Source organism: Homo sapiens, chromosome 1 (assembly GCF_000001405.40).
Source record: "Homo sapiens chromosome 1, GRCh38.p14 Primary Assembly".
Classification (NCBI taxonomy): domain Eukaryota; kingdom Metazoa; phylum Chordata; class Mammalia; order Primates; family Hominidae; genus Homo; species Homo sapiens.
The window spans coordinates 225,554,751-225,575,511 of NC_000001.11; the positions used below are offsets into that span (position 1 = coordinate 225,554,751).

General features: G+C 39.8%; 1 protein-coding gene across 35 annotated transcripts in view, besides 1 other annotated feature; it reads right to left on the reverse strand.

The window, feature by feature from the left end:
• Positions 1-20,761, reverse strand: part of ENAH (ENAH actin regulator) — a 167,050-nt gene that overhangs the window by 67,922 nt on the left and 78,367 nt on the right. For all 35 annotated transcript variants that reach the window (XM_017001752.2, XM_047424938.1, XM_017001751.2 and 32 more), the window contains 2 exons: positions 12,499-12,664; positions 156-333 (listed from right to left, as the gene is read on the reverse strand). In XM_017001752.2, the coding sequence (XP_016857241.1) occupies positions 156-333; positions 12,499-12,664 (344 nt within the window). The remainder of the gene's footprint in view (positions 1-155; positions 334-12,498; positions 12,665-20,761) is intronic.
• Positions 7,173-7,674: an enhancer, noted in NCBI's record as "H3K4me1 hESC enhancer chr1:225749625-225750126 (GRCh37/hg19 assembly coordinates)". NCBI's record gives its function as "activates a minimal SCP1, AML or CMV promoter by ChIP-STARR-seq in primed H9 embryonic stem cells {active_cell/tissue: H9 hESC(primed)}" and the evidence as "EXISTENCE:reporter gene assay evidence [ECO:0000049][PMID:30033119]".

A 20,761-nucleotide genomic window follows, 5' to 3' on the forward strand; every position in this document is an offset into this window, starting at 1 on the left:
CAAAAACTACTTCAAATATATACAAGATCTAAAAGTTAACAAACATTTGTTTTAACATACACATGGCACTTCAGTTCAAGAATACAAGTAAATCTTCAGTTTTGCTTTGTCTCTGGAAAAAGAAAGAAAATACAAATAAACCATGGGCACCTTACCTGTTTCCTGTGAATTTAACACTTCTAAGGCATGCATCATGGCACTTGCGAAGACATTGGCATCCTCTTTGCTGCCAAAGTTGAGACCATACACCTGTCTAGCATCTCGCCACTGGTGGAAGGTCTGTGTAGCTTGATTGTACTTCAACCCTTTAGGAATGGCACAGTTTATCACGACCTAAAAAATAATAATTCTTTATAAAGTCAAACCAATAATTGGCAAAATCAAGGATGTCAACAAATGCTGATTGTATATATTCATTCAAATGTGTTCCTAACAGACCTTGGCAAAAATTGCTTAAACAATTATCTGGGTAAAATCTACACAAATATCAGTCTGATAGAAGTTAAGCTTTTCGCTGATTACAAAGGTCTGCCATAAAACAGTAAATCAGCCGGGCACGGTGGCTCACGCCTGTAATCCCAGCACTTTGGGAGGGCTCGAGGCAGGCAGATCATGAGGTCAGGAGATTGAGACCATCCTGGCTAACACGGTGAAACCCCATCTCTACTAAAAATACAAAAAATTAGCCAGGCGCAGTGGCGGGTGCCTGTAGTCCCAGCTACTCGGGAGGCTGAGGCAAGAAAATGGCGTGAATCCAGGAGGCAGAGTTAGCAGGGAGCCAAGATCACACCACTGCACTCCAGCCTGGGCGATAGAGCGAGACTCTGTCTCAAAAAAAAAAAAAGTAAATCAGCAAAACAAAAAAAAATTTTCCTCATTAAATATATTTTAACTTGTTTGCTGAAGTTTTACAAATACAAAAAAGTATACACAACCTAAGAGTGTATCTCTCTGAATGTTCACATGAAGTCAGTACCCTGATTAAGAAATCAAACAGCAACACCAGAAGCCCCTCTTCTTAACTCCTCCCACCTCCCAAAAGGTACTAGCCACACTTCTAACATCATAAATTACTACATTTATATGAAATCCAAAAACTAACATATCATTCTGAGGAGGGTCTTGAGTATCTATATAGGGGTCTTAAGTATCTTTCATTAGATTTATTTCCTATTATTAATCGAGTTTTGTAGGTTTTTGGATTTTATATAAATGGAGTTATACAACATGTATTAAACGTATCTGCTCTCTTATCCTCAAAATTGTAAGAGCCATCCACTTGTTGCATGCAGCTGTGGTTTGTTCATTTTCACTGCTCTATGGTAGTCGTTTGTATAAATCATATTTATTTAACCATTCTCCCATTAATGAACAATTGGATTATTTGCAGTTTGGGCTATTAAAAATTGCGATGTTATGAACTTTCTACTGCATGTCTTTTGGTACAAACAAGCATTCATTTTTGTTGGGCATATACCCAGGAGTGGAAATATCACAGGACATGTGTATGTTCAGCTCTAGTAGAAAATTCCAAGTAGCTTTCCAAATTGGTTCTAGTAATTTACATTTCCACAAGAGTATACAAGAGCTTGTGCTACTTCTACATACTATGCAACATTACAACTGGTACTGTCAGTCTTTATTTTAGCAATTCTGGTGGGTATGAATGCTTTATCACTGCAGTTTTAGTTTGCATTTCCCTGATTTTTATTAGGTATCTAGATGTCTCTTTTTGTGAATATCTGCTTGAATTAAGTCTCTTGTCCATTTTTCTCCTGAGTTGTCAACTTTTTTCTTCTTTGATTTCTAAGCCCTTTATATATTCTAGATATGATATCATTGTTGGTTATCTGTGATGCATATATCTTATGCCATTCTATGAATCGCCTTTTCACTCTTAACGGTGTCTTGATGGATGTAAGTTCTTCACTTTGATTCTGTTCAAATTAGCAATCTTTTCCTTTATAGTTACTGCTTTAGTGCCCTGTTTAACAAATGTTTCTCAATCACAAGGTCATGAAAATATTGTCCCATATTATCTTGTAGAAGCTTTATTATTTTACCTTTCATATTTCTATCCCCAATCCAACTGGAATTGATCTGTGCCTATGGTGTGAGGTAGGGATCAAGTTTGCTATTTGTTTCAATATGGCTGTCCAAATGATCCAGCACTATCACTGTGCTGCAGGTTTGCCTGCAGCACATAAATCAAGTGTCTATAAGGCTCTATTTTCACCTACAGATCAATATGCCTTTTTGCCAACTCTACAATGTCTTAACTGTTGTAGCTTTATACGAAATCTAGATGACCATTAGAGTGTGTCTTCCTGTTTCATTCTTCAAAATTGCTTTGGCTCTTCTCAGTCCTTTGTGTGCAGCTAGTTTTACATTCTGATTATCAGTTTCTACCAAAGAAATTTTGGGGACTTTGAGGTTGCATGAAAGCTAACATATCAATCTGAGGAGGCTCTTAAGTATCTTTATAGGGGTCTTGAGGATCTTTCATTAGATTTATTATTTTCTATTATTAATCGAGTTCTAAGTATTAGAATCTTCTAATATTCCTAATAATTTACATTAAGGTTTTTTCCTCTAAATACACAATCATGTGATCGGCAATGGACAGCTTTATTTCTTCCTTTCCAATCCATTCACAATGTATTTATCTCCATACACTGGCTAGAAATAACAATACAATGCTGAAAAAAAGTGTTCATAACAAGTATCTTTATTTTCTGATTTTAGAAGGAAAGCTTTCTCAATTAAACCGTTAAAAGTATGATCTTTCACACCAGGCAGGTGGATCATGCCTGTAATTCCAGCACTTTGGGAGGCCAAGGCAGGTGGATCACTTGACGTCAGGAGTTCAAGACCAGCCTGGCCAACATGGTGAAACCCCGTCTCTACTAAAAATACAAAACTTAGCCAGGCGTGGTGGCATGTGCCTGTAATCCCAGCTACTTGGGAGGCTGAGGCAGAAGAATCACTTGAACCCAGGAAGCAGAGGTTGCAGTGAGCTGAGACTCTGCCACTGCACTCCAGCCTGGGCAACAGAGTGACACTCTGTCTCAAAAAATAAATAAATATATAAATAAATAAATGACTTTTCATGTAATAATTTTATTGATATCTTTTATCTGGGGAAAAACCCTACTACTTGACAGCTAAGGGTTTCCATCATGATTGAATACTGCATTTTATCAAGTCCTCCCCAACATCTCTTGAGGTGACTGGTTTTTCTGTTTTTATGCAGTAAGTTACACTGATGATTTTCTAGTATTAAACCAACCTTACATTCCTAGGATAAACAATCTTGGTCCTCATATATCAATTTTTATAAATCTCTAGATTTTTGTTTGATATTGCTCTGTTTGAAATTTTTACATGTACTTTTATGAGTGAGATTAACCTGTAATTTCCTCTCTATTGTATTCATACCAGGTTTTGATACCAAAGTAATGCTGGACTTAAAATGAATTGGCACTGTAGAGTTGACAAAAAGATAGGCATCCTCTTTTTGTATTCTCTGGAAAAAAGTACGTAATACTGGTGTTCTTTAAAGGATTGGTTGAAAAGAACACCACCAGTAGAGCCAGCTAAACAAAGTTTTCTTCCTTTTACTTCTTTTAATGATAGTCTTAATTTCTTTAAAGTGTTTTCGTAGGAATTTCTACATCTACATTTTCAAAATTACTAAAATAAAGTAGCTCAAAATATCTCCTTAATCACTTAAATGTCTGTAAGATTCACAGTGATGTCCCTTCTTTCTTCATAATGGTTAAACCATTTTTTTTTTCAAGAGCTGTCCCTCACAAGGACTTTAGAGACAAACCTCTCCTCCTTAGTGTGTTTGCTTTCTACTGCATTAATTTCTGCCTTTTTTTTTTTTTTTTTTTTTTTTGAGATGGAGTCTCGCTCTGTCGCCCAGGCTGGAGTGCAGTGGCGCGATCTCGGCTCACTGCAAACTCCGCCTCCCAGGTTCACGCCATTCTCCTGCCTCAGCCTCCCGAGTAGCTGGGACTACAGGCGCCCGCCAACACACCCGGCTAATTTTTTGTATTTTTAGTAGAGACAGAGTTTCACCATGTTAGCCAGGAAGGTCTTGATCTCCTGACCTCGTGATCTGCCCACCTCGGCCTCCCAAAGTGCTGGGATTACAGGCGTAAGCCACTGCGCCTGGCCTGTTTCTGCTCTTATCTTTATTGTTACCCTCTTTCTATTAATATTCTATATGGCTTTAATGGCCTATTATTTAATTTCTTGAGATGCATCCTGAGTTCTGGCTGAAAAGTCAACAATACTTCTTTTTCAAGATAAACATTTTAGCCTCTAAATTTCATTTTAATCACAAGTTTAGTTGCATTCTATTAGTGTTAATATGTGGCATGTTCATCATTATTCAGCTCAACCAATTTTTCTTATTTCATCGTGATTTCTTCTCGGACTCATGGACTATTCAGAAAGGTATTTCTTAACACCTACACCTATGGGATTCTCTATTATCTTATTTCTAGATTAATTCTGCTGTGACCATACACTTTGTATGATTTTAATCCTTTGAAATTTGTTGACACTTTCTTTAGGGCCAAGCATATATACAATTTTGAAATTGTGACGTACATTTCAAAGGTATGTGGTATATATGTCAATTAGGCTAGGGAGGTAATTGTATTGTTCAAACCTTCTATACATTCTTACAGACCTTTTTTTCTGACTGCCTGTTCCATCAGTTACTAACAGAAGTAAGTTAAAGTCTCCTGCTGTGACTCATAAATTTGTAACCAGAACAAGAGGAACTGTGAAATATCTGGTTCCAAAATGGCAGCGCAGAAGCAAGCTATGGCAAAAACCACCATTACTTTTGCACCAACCTAATAGTTCCCTACTCTCCCTGCACCCCAACAAAACAAAATCAAGTATACAGCACCAGCAATATCCCACAACTCAAATAGGAGTAGGAGACAGTTCCTGGAGACACAGAGAAATAAAAAAGCTCTCAGCAGACAGTAAGAGAATCAGACCTCCATATCCACAATGGCCCTCCCCACAGCCTGTTGGCACCAAGCACGCAGAAAATCTCCCCCAACTCACGCCTTCTACACTGGAAAAAGTGAGATCAAGGTAAACAACAAACTTCTCCACCATCCTGGGTTCACGGCAAAAGACTCATCTGTCATCTCAAACCATGGGAAGCATTGGGAGTGCCAGAAGGGAGAAATATCCCTGAGAACAGCCAAAGTGGGGAAGCAGGACTAGCCCAGAAAGTCTGCTCTGTAACTTGGCCAAAGGAGACACCGAGTCAAAGTGGCTGTTCAGCAGCACCATAGCCAGCCTTCCCACACTACCAGGACATCCCCATTGGGACTTCCTCAATTTGGGATGGGTAGCACTCTGTTTACTAGAACCTAGGCAAATCTGAACTTTTTTTTTTTTTTCCTGAGACAAGGGCTTCCTGTGCCCCCCAAGGCTGGAGGTAGCTCATGGTAATTCCAGCACTTTGGGAGGCTGAGGCAGGTAGATCACTTGAGGTCAGGAGTTCGAGACCAGCCTGGCCAACATGGCAAAACCCTGTCTCTACTAAAAATACAAAAATTAGCCAGGCATGGTGGCACATGCCTGTAATCCAGCTACTTGGGAGACTGAGGCAGGAGAATCACTTGAACCCGGGAGGCTAAGGTTGCAGTGAGCCGAGATCATGCCAGTGCACTGCAGCCTGGGTGACAGAGTGAGACAAAAAAAAAAAAAGATTAAATGTTATGCACATTTTACCATAAGGCTGGAGTGCAGTGGCTATTCACAGGCACAATCATGGGACACGACAGTCTTGAACTCCTGGCCCTAGGCAGTTATCCTGCCTCAGCCTCCCAAATAGCTGGGACTATAGGCACAAGCCACTGTGCCCACCCTCCTGATGTGGTTTTTATAAATATTGGGGTGGGGGTGTCACAATTCCTTAGAAGACACTAGAAACCCAAAGCTACTAAATTTTAACATTATCAGAAAATTAGAAGACCCATTTTAAGGCAAATCAATATCCCTGCTTGGCAAACAGCTTAAAATGGCAAACAAGAGAAAAGATGTGTTACATTTACTTTTTCAATTGTTCATAACAGAATGCTAGAAAAAGTTGTGGAAAATATTACTAGGATCAAAATTACATAAACTACTGTTTCCTTTTTCCAATATAAAAATTTGAAATCTGGGGTTGGGCACAGTGGCTCATGCCTGTAATCCCAGCACTTTGGGAGGCCAAGGCGGGCAGATCACGATGTCAGGAGATTGAGACCATCCTGGCCAACATGGTGAAACCCTGTCTCTACTGAAAATACAAAAATTAGCTGGGCTTGGTGGTGCGTGCCTGTAATCCCTGCTACTCGGGAGGCTGAGGCAGGAGAAAAGCTTGAACCAGGGAAGTCAGGCTGCAGCGAGCAGAGATCGCACCACTGCACGCCAGCCTGGTGACAGTGAGACTCCGTCTCAAAAACAAAAACAAATTTTTTTTAATCTGAATTAATTCTTTCACTCATCTAACCATTGAGGATAGACAGTACTGCAAATAATCTTTAAAAGTATTAAAATTAAATATTTTCAGGCTGGGTGCAGTGGCTTACGCCTGTAATCCCAGCACTTTGGGAGGCGGAGGCAAGCAGATCATGAGGTCAGGAGATCGAAACCAACCTGGCCAACATGGTGAAACCCTGTCTCTACTAAAAATATAAAAATTAGCCAGGTGTGGTGGCACATGCCTGTAATCCCAGCTGCTTGGGAGGCTGAGGCAGGAGAATCACTTGAACCAGGGAGTTGAAGGTTGCAGTGAGTTGAGATGGCGCCACTGCACTCCAGCCTGGCGACAGAGTGAGATTCCGTCTTAAAATAAAATAAAATAAAATAAAATAAAATAAAATAAAATTAGTATGTTCACTTAATAACTACTTATTGGATGTCCACTGAGCATGCTGTCAGGTTTGGACTACATCATAATCCTAAATTCTGTGCTTCAGAACCAGTGAGCTTGAGTCTAGACTGGTGGTGACGTTCCATCTCACACATGCCTATACATTTTTAGCCTGACCATAACAGAGTAAACAGTGCAGTAAACACCCACAGTTCCTTGTGACCTCGCTCACTATCTTATCCTGTCTATGAGGTCATACATGACCCTTTCTCCTATCTTCTCAACAAACTGATGATGCTTTTATGCCCTCACTGTGCTCTATTTTACACTTATCACAACTGAAACATTTAACTGTGGTTCTTTGCTTATGTGCTTAACATCTCCATCCTGCCTCAGCCTCCTGAGTAGCTGGGATTACAGGCGCGCGCCACTACGTCTGGCTAATTTTTGTATTTTTAGTAGAGACTGGGTTTCACCATGGTAGTCAGGCTCTTCTCAAACTCCTGAGCTTGTGATCCACTCACCTCGGCCTCCCAAAGTACTGAGATTAAAGGCGTGAGCCACTGCACCCAGCCAACATTCCCATTCTTTACTGCATCTTTGATTCAAGGTCAGGAACGATATTCTATATAAAACCCAAGCACAGGCCGGGCGCAGTGGCTCACGCCTGTAATCCCAGCACTTTGGGAGGCTGAGGCGGGCAGATCACGAGGTCAGGAGATCGAGACCATCCTGGCTAACATGGTGAAACCCCATCTCTACTAAAAATACAAAAAATTAACCGGGCGTGGTGACAGGCGCCTATAGTCCCAGCTGCTCGGGAGGCTGAGGCAGGAGAATGGCATGAACCCGGAAGGCAGAGCTTGCAGTGAGCTGAGATCGAGCCACTGCACTCCAGCCTGGGCGACAGAGCGAGACTGCGTCTCAAAAAAAAAAAAAAAAAAAAAAAAAAAAAAACACACCCAAGCATAGTACCCATAAGCACTTAATAAATGTTAGGCTGGAAAATGAAGTATTTTTTTATATAACATATTTATATAATTGTACATATTCAATTTTGTAAGTAAATGGTGGGTGGTTTTAACAGCTCTTACTATAGAAAGTTTAGATATTTAGTAAATTATAACAACATGTGCCCACTTAGAACAGACTGATAACCATTAAGATATGTAAGAATGATGGCCAGCCACAGTGGCTCATGCCTATAATCTCAGCTACTCAGGAGACTGAGGCAGAAGGATCACTTGAGCCCAGGAGGTCAAGGCTGCAGTGAGCTATGGTCACACCACTGCATTCCAGCCTGGGCAACAGAGCAAAACTCTGTGTCAAAAAAAAAAAACCCGAAATGCAAGAATGAAAGACAGAAAACCAATTATTTATTAGATTTATTCTTAGGGATGGTGTTTCCTTAAGTATCATTATATTAATAAAATTATATTTTCTAATCGTTTATTGCTTATACAAAAATGCGAGTGGCTTTTATATACTGATCACGTAACCAGCAACCTCACTGAAAATCTTGTTAGTTCTAATAGTTTATCCGCAGATACTCCTGGGAGATTTTTATGCAGACAATTACATCATTGGTGAGTAACCAGCTGTTTCTTTCTTATCAATTCTTACTGCTTCTATTTCTTAAACTTTGTATGGCTAGGTTATCTAGTACCTCCTCTGTATCACTAAATGAAAGTGATTAGAGCTGAAATGCTCAATTTATTCACAAGTTTAACGGGAATGCTCTTGACACTGTACAATCCTGTAAGATACCTGCTGTATGCTTCTATTATCTACCCATATCAGCTTAACAAGATTAATTTTATGCCTAATGTGATGAGAACTGTTATGTATTGATTCAAATTTTATCAAATGCTTTTTCCAGAACCTCTTGCTTTTGTAGGTTTTCTCCTGGGAAATAACATTAGTAAGTTATCTAATGTTAACCATCCTTATATTACTAAGGCAAACAATGATAAGCCCTATTTGATCAAGAAGTGCTTTTGTTTTGTTTTTTACTCATTACTACATTTGGTCTGCTAATATCTTATTGAGGACTATTATATCTAGGTATATATTCATAACTGAAGACTGGCTCCTCTCCCAAACGTGTTCTGTGTTTTGGATATCAAAATTATACAAGCCTTATAAAATATCATTCTCTACAATGGTTGCATAAAACAGAAAATATCATGACATTTTAGATTTCATTTGTAAATGCTCTGTACTCTCCTGCAGCTTTTTAAAATTTGGGGGGCAGATTATTTACTATTTATTTATTTCATGATTGTAGGTCTATCACGTTTTCCTACTCTTCAGTTTTAGAAAGTTACGTTTTTCTACAAAATGGCCCACTTACTGGCATAAAGTTTTTTATAATATTTTATTTCCTTCAGTAACTATAGTGGTATTCTTTTTTTCATTCCTAAAATTGGTTATTTGTACTGTTCCTTTTTTTTGTTTGATTCTGCAAGTTTTTTTTGTTTGTTTTTTTGAGACATGGTCTTGTTCTGTCTCCCAGGTTGGAGTGCAGTGGCACAATCACACTTACTACAGTCTCCACCTTCCAGGTTTAAGTGATTCTTCCACCTCAGCCTCTCGAGTAGCTGGGACTACAGGCACACACATCACACCTGGCTAGTTGTTTGGGGTTTTTTGTTTTTTTTTGAGATGGTGTTTCGCTCTTGTTGCCCAGGCTGGAGTGCAATGGCGCAATCTCGGCTCACCGCAACCTCCGCTCCCAGGTACAAGCGATTCTCCTGCCTCAGCCTCCCAAGTAGCTCGAATTACAGGCATGCACCACCATGCCCGACTATTTTTTTTTTTTTTTTTTTTAGTAGAGACGGGGTTTCACCATGTTAGTCAGGCTGGTTGCGAACTCCAGACCTCAGGTGATCCACCCACCTTGGCCTCCCAAAGTGCTGGGATTACAGACAAGCACCACCACGCCTGGCCTGTTTGGGTTTTAAAAAATAGTTTTGTAGAGACAGAGTCTCATTATGTTGACCAGGCTGGTCTTGAACTCTTGGGCAAGCAATCTTCCTGCCTTGGCGTCCCAAAAAGCTGGGATTACAGGTGTGAGCCACCACGCCAGCTAGTTTATCTTTTCAATGAAGCAGCTTTTGTATTAACAAATACTATTTATTTTCATTTAATTAATATCTTTTTAATATTTTCTTCTGTTTTCTTTGGGTTAAGCTCATTATTTTTTAGTTTCCCTTTTTTTCCTACTACATACAATTAAGACTTGTCCATCTAAGGACAGCTTAGATGTCCTACAGGTTTCTATATGTAATATCACTCAGGTCTCAGTGTTTTCTTATTTTCTAAATATTTTTTAATATACATAATAATTTCCTCTTAATGTCACAATTTAGAAGCACAGTTTTAAATTTTTAAATGTTTTAAGAAACATTCTATTTTCCAAAATCTAAGTCATAGGATAGTTTACTTCTCCTAGAAATAAAAATTTTGGTATTTCATATGCAAATTTCCTAGCTTAAATTTCTTTCCGAGCCTGGCGCGGTGGCTCACGCCTATAATCCTTGCACTTTGGGAGGCTGAGGCAGGTGGATCACCTGAGGCCAGGAGTTCAAAACCAGCCTGACCAACATAGAGAAACCCCATCTCTACTAAAAATACAAAATTAGCCAGGCATGGTGGCACATGCCTGTAATCCCAGCTACTCTGGAGGCTGAGGCAGGAGAATCGCTTGAACCCGGGAAGGAGAGGTTGCAGTGAGCCACAATCACGCCATTGCACTCCACCCTGGGCGACAAGAGCAAAACTCTGTCTCAAATAATAAAAAAAAAAAAGAATTTCTTTCTGATTATCTTCAAATATTCTTTTTTGTTTCTCTAAATGTAGGATTGTTCATCAGTACTTTCAAATAACCAATTCACTAAATTTACCAAAAACGTAGTTTCTTTACAGCTATTAGTTTGGAATGTTGTATTAAGAAGGTTCAACAATTTCTACAAAATTTTAATTGTCCAGTTTTCTTTTTTTTTCCCCATAATAACATCTTGGGGTGTATTTGATTTATCTCTGGACTAAGTCGCTGCTGGAACAAAGACAAAGATGAGACAGTGCTCCCCAGAACCTGGACTACAAATGGGACAAAGGGGGCTCTTGGTAAAAAGCCTGGGAGACCAGAAAAAGGCTGTGCAACACAACAAGGAAACTGGAGCCTAGAGGAAAACGCAGGAAGACTAAGGAGGGAAAAGAAGAGGGCGGGGCACAGGGGAGAGACAGACAGAAGGGAGCCAGAGAGGGCAGAAAGAGAGGCAGGCCGAAACCGTCTGTATAAATGGATAAATCTGGTAAATTCAGAGAATTGCTCTTTCCACAGATTGACTCAGAGCTGTGAAAGTTCATCTCCACGCAGGCACCACATTTGTTTTTACCACGTGCCCCAACAGTTTCAGTGCTCTACAACCAGTGTTTCCTAATTTCTTGGCTTAAGTTGCTTAAGTGAAGGAGTTTCTCATTTCTCGGGGGAGCTTCTAAGCCAGCTAAGAAAGCAACACACTCCTTTGCTTCCCTGTGCTGATAGAAGGATTTCTCTTGTCTTCTTTCTACGGGGTGTAGCCCCTCTAAGATTGCTAGTTTTTTTGTGTGTTTTTTTGTTTGTTTGTTTGTTTTGCCAAAATACCAGTTTCACAGCCCAACCTCTCGTAGGCCCACAGCCCCTATATGCATACATGACAAATCTTACCAATCCATAATCACCATCCTAAAACCCAGGGCTAATGCAGCATCTGTTTACACCACACTACCACACAATGTAGGGGAAACCTAGGAACTTACCTTTCTTCATAAGAGCTCAGCTGGGCAATGAAGAAGAAAATTTGTTACATTCTTTCCGCATGTGTAGCAGGATGATTTTTAAAGTCAGTTGATTCCAACATCTTTGGTAAATATTTTTTCCCAAAGTATTTTGTAAATCTACTCTTTATAAAAGTTCTTACTATTAGTATATAGTTAATGCTAGTAAGAGCTTATCTGCCTTTTCCTCTATCTACTGCTGTTGATCTGTTAAGGCCCAAGAAATCAAGTAATCAGATAATCCAGCTACTTTCTAAGAAATCCAGAGCGAGGAATTAGTAAAAGCTTAGCTGTCGCCCCAGACATGAACTGCAAAAGCCAAACTATTCCAGCAACCTCAATACCTACTATTTTTCTATCACATGTGAATTTAACAGTATTTTCTGAAACTATCTATACTTTCAACTCCCTCCTCTAACCCCATATCCCAAACATTGGCAGGAAATTAATTCCATAAACATACAATCTGCCACTTAAGTAGAGTTTTGTTTGTTTGTCCTTAATTTGCTTTAGATTTCAAAAACTAATTGAAGGCCAGAAAATCTAATGAAAATTCATCATAAAAGAACTTGTATTTCTATTTTTGTACAACTTGTTCTAAATCTTCGTTTAAGTTCAGGCTTCATAAAAGGTAGAAAGGGTGGAGAGACAATTTTATATTCAGTTTTTCCCAGAGAGAGACTATTTTGATTACAGTTTTAAAACTACTTTATTTTACGGAATATGCCAAGTCCTTTTGTAATACTAAATCATTTTTAACAACAATTGTAGTAAAGCCTTACCTGATGGTCCTGAATCTTCCTGCCCACCACTCTGAATGTGTTGTTGCCTGTATGGTGATAGATATGAACTCTGCTGAATCCAGTTGAGCCACCAGCTGGCACCCACTTCTTATTGGCATCATCATAAACCATCACAGCAGCTCTTGCCTGACAGATACTCTGTTCACTGTAAAAAATAAAATAAAATATTCAAACTTGCAATATTTAAAATATGCTAAGTGTTCCACATAGCCACACAAACCTAGGAGTCAGTCAACGATCAGTGCTGTTATTGGGTGCTGGAAACAATAATGGACAAGACAGAGGCTTCCTGTCTTTATGTGTACAGTCTAATGGTGAAGACAAACCAAAAAAAATAAAGTATAATTAAAAGACCAAAAGGAGAGCAGGATCCACGAAGAACACTTAGATAAGCAACACAAGAAATGGTTTCTTCTAAATTTGAGTATCTAATTCATTCACTAAACTGAATACAACTATTATGTTGGTTCAAAAGTAATTGCACTTTTTGCTATTTTAATGGCAAAAACTGCAATTACTTTTGCACCAACCTAATACAAGTGTAAATTAATCATTATTTGCTTAATTGCATACATGTTTAGTATACTGATGACCTGTCTGTGATAACACCTTCTTTACTGAGAAAATTACTTTTATCCTCAGGCTTGCCCTAAAGTCTGTAACTAAGTCTGATAATCAACCATCTGCCCCTTGAGACATGGAGTGGCCGCTAACAACCAATGGATGGCAGTGTAACTAAATTCCTCATTCGCCTTGGGCAAGATAACATCTTGTGCTTCAAATTTCTTCATTTAAAAATGAAAATGTAAAATGAGGTAATTTCTAAAGACCCCACTAGATTTTAAATTCTAGCCTCCAAAGATAAATATTAAAGGGGAAAAGGCCAATTCTGTCATAGAATCTTTAAACATTAGCTTCATCTAACTCAATTATTTGTTACCAAGTGAGACTGAGATACACAAATAAATAAAATAGAGACGCCAGGCACGATGGCTCAATGCCTGTAACCCCAGCACTTTGGGAAGCCAAGGTGGGAGAATAACCTGAGGCCAGGAGTTCAAGACCAGCCTGGGCAATATATCAAGACCCCGTCTCTATATTTAAAATAAAATATAAAGATAATCTCAATTTCATCTTAAGCAATGGGTTCATCTTTCAAATATTCTAGGATATTAGAATAGGCACATCAACTCTATGCTATTAACCCAATTAAAATAACTCAACCTCAATAGACAAGCCTTCTGATACTCCTGAGACTTAACAGTCATTAATGGAAATCCTCTGAAGTAGCTCGTGCAACCACATCCTTCACAAAAGCACTGCTTATTCTATCAATTTTATCTCAAAAATTTTAAACAATAAATCATGTCGGTTCTTTCCTAAAAATTCTCAAACAGAAAGTCACCCTCACACTCTCCCCTCTTGCTCGTGCATCTGCCCCACCTCTTAACCCATCCAAGAGGGATAATGAAATGCAACTTTGCAGGAGATGGCATGTGTTTTATTCTTGTCCTTGATGACAGAGGATCACTGAAGGCCTAAAAAGGTCACAGCACTGAGTAATAAAATTGCTTCAGAACAACAGGGTTATAATTATTTGTAATTTTCCATTAGAAAAATGTTTACAAAAACTAACTTGTAACAATATTTGTGCAGCAAACCCAATGGTAATGTCTACATTTTTATGCTGCACTGACATTTTTGGTAAAATACTTCTGGGAATGAAAACAAGCCAATGACTAAAACTTGAATTAGTTTTAAAAGATAGATTAAAGGGCATGTGTCAGTAGCAGTTGAAAAATCTCTCCATCATTCACAACAGAAATATTTTGCATGTGATGACATTTACATAACCCTATGGAAAGATTACATGAAACAAGCCAAGGCAAAGTGCCTCTTACAGCTTACAATTCAAGCAACAAATTTACTGCTAAATGTAAATAATTCAATAAACAAATCTAGAATAATACAGGATAGTAGTTTCCAGTTTTCAAATAATATTTTTGCAGCTACATTGTTTCTAAGATTCCCAAGATTCAAGAGATAATGTCTTGGGGTGTGGGGAGCTGGGGGAGGGACAGCGTTAGGAGAAATAACCTAATGTAAATGACGAGTTGATGGGTGCAGCAAACCAACATGGCACACGTATACCTATGTAACAAACCTGCACGTTGTGCACATGTACCCTAGAACTTAAATAATAAATAAATAAAATAAAATCATGTCCCTTTAAGAAGTGTCAGTAAGATCATATAAGCTAAAGCAACACCTCATTTTGTAAACAGGTCACTTCATGCCTCAAAAAAATTTTTTTCTTTTAAGTATAAGAAATCTAAAACAAGGAAAGTTAGCTTTAATGGCCCCAAAGTTTTCCTCTACTTTTTTTCTCCAAATGAACATATCCAAGTAGCCAAGAAAAGTCAAAAATGCAAAAAATTAACTGGTTTTCTGAAGATGAAAAGAAATCTTCAAAATGAAATGTTAAACATTTCCAATTCTAAACAAAGCTGAGAATAAAGAGAAGAAAAAATAAGCTATGGGTAAGAGCTGAGGTGTTATTGGAGAGGTAGTAATTGCCATGTGGGTATGTGGCACACTGTGAAGGGATTAGCTAAACCCAAATAACTGTGTAGCCCTAGAAGATATCAGGCACTGGTGGGGCGCAGTGGCTCACACCTGTAATCCCAGCACTTTGGGAGGCCAAGGCAGGTGGATCACCTGAGTTTAGGAATTCGAGACCAGCCTGGCCAACATGGGGAAACCCTATCTCTACTAAAAATACAAAAATTAGCTGGGTGTGGTGGCAGGCACCTGTAACCCCAGCTACTTGGGAAGCTGAAGCAGGAGAATCATACTCACACCATGGACTCCAGCCTGGGTGACAGAGCAATGCTCCATCTCAAAAAAAAAAAAAAAAATACATTAGGCACTCAGAGAAGCCCCCATCAAGGCCCAGCCAGGAAAGGATGGCACTGCCTGCTAGGGTTTAGCGACAAATGCAACTCAGTCCTCTTATTCCTTTCCACAGCATCTGAGGACCTCTTCTCACTAGAGACATCCTGCCATGTACGCTGACCATTGAACAACATGGGAACTGCGCAGGTCCACTTATACATGGATTTTTTTTTTCCAGTGTTTTTCAGTATTTTTTCCAGTGTTACACTGGAAAAACTGTGCCTGCCTCCCCTTCCACCTCCTTCTCCTCTCCCACCTTACCCTTCCTAAGACAGCAAGGCCAAGCCCTCCTCTTTCCTGCCCCTCCTCAGCCTGCTCAACATGAAGACAAGGATGAAGATCTCTATAATGATCCATGTCCATTTCATGAATAGTAAATATATTTTCTCCTTCTTGTGATTTTTTAATGTTTTTTTAAATAACATTTTCTTTTCTCTAGATTAAGAATATGGGCCAGGCGTGGTGGCTCACACCTGTAATCCTAGCACTTTGGGAGGCCGAGGCGGGCAGATCACCTAAGGTGAGGAGTTGGGAGACCAGCCTGACCAACATGGAGAAACCCTGTCTCTACTAAAAATGCAAAAAAAAATTAGCCAGGTCTGGTGGCGAGCACCTGTAATCCCAGCTACTCGGGAGGCTGAGGTAGGAGAATCGCTTGAACCTGGGAGGCAGAGGTTATGGTGAGCTGAGATCGCGCCATGACACTCCAGCCTAGGCAAGAAGAGCGAAACTCCGTCTCAAAAAGAATATGGTATAAAATACACATAACATAACAAAACGTGTTGATCAACTGTTTATGGATATCTATAAAGCTTCTACTCAACAGTAAACTATTATTAGTTAAGTTATGGGGGATTCAAAAGTTGCACTTGGGCCAGGCACAGTGGCTCGTGCCTGTAAACTCAGCACTTTGGGAGGCCAAGGCAGGCAGATCATTTGAGGTCAGGAGACCAGCCTGGCCAACATAGTGAAACTGCATCTCTACTAAAGATACAAAAATTAGCCAGGCATGGTGACGTGCACCTGTGGTCCCAGCTACTCGAGTGGCTGAAGCACAAGAATCGCTTGAACCCAGGAGATGGAGGTTGCAGTGAGCCGAGATCATGCCACTACACTCCAGCCTGGGCGACAGAGTGAGACTCTGTCTCAAAAAAAAAGAAAAAAAAGAAAGAAAAACAAAAGAAAAGTTGCACTTGGGGGCCAGAGTCCCTAACCTCCTCCACCCCTCTACTCACCTTTTATAACTCTACTGTTCAAGGGTCAACTGTATTTGGCCTGGGGTCCTGGGTACAGGGCTCCTCAAAGTGTCTTTGGTATACTAATGAGATGATTCTTGGCTGAAGGGGCTTCTAGATGGCTTCAGATGGGGCCAAGTGGCCGGAAATATCATGGCATGACTGGAAGGCTGGAACTCAGGCCCACACTTCCCACCTCATTACTGCCCCCCGCCAACAACTGGGGAAGGGAGACGGACTAGAGATCGAGTTCAATCACAATGGCCAATGATTTCATCGATCATGCTTATGTAATGAAACTTCCATAAAAACCCTGAATGACAGGGTCAGAGGGCTTCCAGGTTGATCAACATATGAAGGTGCTGGGAGAGTCGCACTTGGAAAGGGCAGGAAAAGACTCAACCCCCGCACCCTCACACCTTACCCTATGCCTCTCTTCCATTTGGCTATTCCTAAATTATATCCTTTATAATAAATGGGTAATAGTGAAGCGCTTTCCTGAGTTTTGGGAATCATTCTAGCAAATTATCAAATGTGGGTTGGGTGGTTTCAGGAACCTCAGTATTTGCAGTTGGCTAAGCAGATGTGGGTAGCCTGGGCACTCCATTTGCAGCTGGTATCTGAAGTAGGAGCAGCCTTATGGAACTGAGCCCTTAACCTATGGGGTCTACGTTAACTCTGCACAGTGTCAGAGTGAACTGAATTATTGGACACCCAGCTGGTGAAATCTCGAGAAGAGACTGTTGAAGTAAGGAAAAAAGCTACTCACATACTAACTCCGATTACAGGTGTGATGCACAAAATAAATTGGTGGTAAGCAGTTTTAGACTTCATGGAGCCATGAACATCAAAAGCAGACTAGATAAATCAATACAGAACTGGCTGCCAATATTTTGCCCTACTTGACAGGTATGCGATGGGGCGGTGGTGGGGACAAACATAACTTATTTAAAATGATATTTCTGGAATCTAAAAATAGGAATATTTCAAAACAAAGACAAATCATTAAATGCAATAACTTGAGCTTTCTAGACAATTCCCTCTATTATCTGCAGATTTTGTTTTCTCCCCGTTTCTCCCTGGTCCAGTGAAATGCTTAGCCAAGGGCCTGCTTTAAAATATGGCTGGCCTCAGCCACAAGAGACAGTATTGCTGCATGGACACTGGTGAACAAATACTAGAGCAATGCATCATTTTACTACCATCCTATCTGCATCATGACAAGCCTCAAAATGAATGCCCAGTCAAAGTCTTCAAGATTCTGAGTCAGTGAAGCGACTACGCAAAAGATTAAATTAGTAAATTACCAAGCTGTACTTTTGTGAAGATCAGGCACTAAATTAGTTATAAACAAAAACTTCATTTTTATGACCCAGTGCAATTGGTATATATAGTTAATTATACTTCATCTTCTGATGTTAATTTTGGTATTTTAAAATAAAATATGGCATTAAAAGGCTAGAGATAGCTGGTTTAAAAGAAGGGAAAAAAGGTCTAAAAACCAAGACACCAAATTACAATTTTGTAGTTTTGTCAGGTAGTTCATTTCTGAATATTGTCAAATTGACTGAGCAGGTATATGTGATGAGAACGCTTGCCAAGTTCTATTCTCACAGGTACCAGTGAATGAAGCGCTTCCTGGTATTTAAGCAGACTAAGGATTGCTAGGCTAGTCTTGTATATACTATTTATTGAGATTGCAGTAAAACCAAGTTGTTAACAAATATCAATTTCTTTTCAAAGATATCACTTATTAATCATTACTTGTCAAAGAAAGCATGAATATGACAATATGTAGCACACAGTAGGCACTCTTTAAATGCTTTTTCAGCACTTACTGTAATCTAACAAAATCCTACTCATCAAGACCTGGATCAAATACTATTCCTCTTATTAATTCTCTCTGTGGTTCCCAAAGCCAGAACTAATTGCTCCTTCCTCCGAGTTCTCAGAGTATTCATTAATCTCTCAACAAACAAGACTCTCTGAGGAGGCAATATTTAAGCCATGGGAAAGACTTGAGTTTTACTCCAAGTGTATACTGGGAAGCCACTGAAGGGCTTTAAGCAGAACACGGCCTACATTTTAAAGATAACTGTAGCTACTATGTAGAGAAAAAATTCAAGAAAGTGGCAGCAAAATCAAGAACAGAAGCACAAATACCAGACGAGAAAAAAAGGAGGGAGAGGAAAGCACTGGGGATGTATGTTGCAAGTACAGAAGAAAGGATCTGTAGATAGACAGGATGCAAAAGAGGAGGCAATCAAAAGGAGGAAAAAAATTATGGATGCACCTAGCATTTTAATGATACTCCCAGTTAGTATGTGATATGCTGTAAAGTATTAAAATGTACCACCACTGAAAGTCATGGCCCAACTCACTTATTCAGAAACATGTCTTCATCATCTTTGAAAATGGAAAATATGTCATCCCTTCTTGAATCCCCTATGTGCAGCACAGAGCCTAGTCTGTAGTGAGTTATCAACATGTGCACAATAACCTCTACTATACTATCAGCCTCTTAAGAGAATATATCCTAAAGAAAGAGAATTAGCATCACGTCTGTTATGATACTGAGTCATTCTATGAACTAAGATGTCATTTATTCAGAAGATAAAATACTAAGAAATAACACTAAAAACTTTGGAATTTTAAATTCAGGATTTCCATCTTATTCTCTGATATCAATTTATTGGGCTATGTCTACAATATTATGACATTTCAAAGATTAAAGAGGCTCAGAGTAAACACAATTGTGTTAGGTTTCAACTCGATTCCACAAATATTGTTCACATTTATAACACAGGTCCTGGCATATAGTAAAAGTGGGCGAGACCAGCTCAGTTATATAAGATTGTGGGCCAGGCGCGGTGGCTCACACCTGTAATCCCAGCACATTGAGAGGCTGAGGTGAGTGGATCACCTGAGGTCAGGAGTTCGAGACCAGCCTGGCCAACATGGCAAAATCCCATCTCTACTAAAAATACCAAAAATTAGCCAGGCATGGTGCCTCGTGCCTGTAGTCCCAGCTACTTGGGAGGCTGAGACATGAGATTCGCTTGAACCTGGGAGGCAGAGGTTGCCGTGAGCCAACAGTACGCCACTGCACTCCAGCCTGGGTGACAAAGTGAGACTCTGTCTCCAAAATATATAAAAAAAAGGCCGGGCGCGGTGGCTCACGCCTGTAATCCCAGCACTTTGGGAGGCCGAGGCGGGCGGATCACGAGGTCAGGAGATCGAGACCATCCTGGGTAACACAGTGAAACCCCGTCTCTACTAAAAATACAAAAAATTAGCCGGGCGTGGTAGCGGGCGCCTGTAGTCCCAGCTACTCGGGAGGCTGAGGCAGGAGAATGGCGTGAACCCGGGAGGCGGAGCTTGCAGTGAGCCGAGATCGCGCCACTGCACTCCAGCCTGGGCGACAGAGCGAGACTCCGTCTCAAAAAAAAAAAAAAAAAAAATATATATATATAAAAAAAAAAAAAGATTGTGCATTCAGATACGAATAATAAACATATTTTCTCAAATAGGAAAGTGAACAATAAATAGCATGTGCTATATACTGTGTTAAGCACTAGACGAGCTTTTTCCTAGTCCATAGCACCAACACCACCACTCTGAAATCACAACATCCTACAAATGTAGGGTTCACTCCAGAATCCTCCGTGACCCTCACTGCTCCACACACACAGTCACCAAGCCCTGTCAATTCTATTTCCAAAAGACTCCTACAATGCATCAGTACCCTTTGTTCACAATGCTCAATGCTCAAAAGCTTTAATTTGGGCCCTCCCTAGTTCCTCAACTGGCTTATTTCAAAAATCTCCTTACCTGTATCTCTCACTGCAATCTTATTCTTCCCTCTCAATGCTTCCAGAGGGATATTTTTATAAATAAAATCTGATCATGCCACTCTTCTGGTTAAGATACCTCAAAGACTCATTTCAGGATAAACTCTGGCTTCACAGCATCACGTACAGGGTCCACTATAATTGGGCCTCTGTCTTCCTCAACATTTATTTTTTCTTTAAAATACTTATTAAGCATGTAAT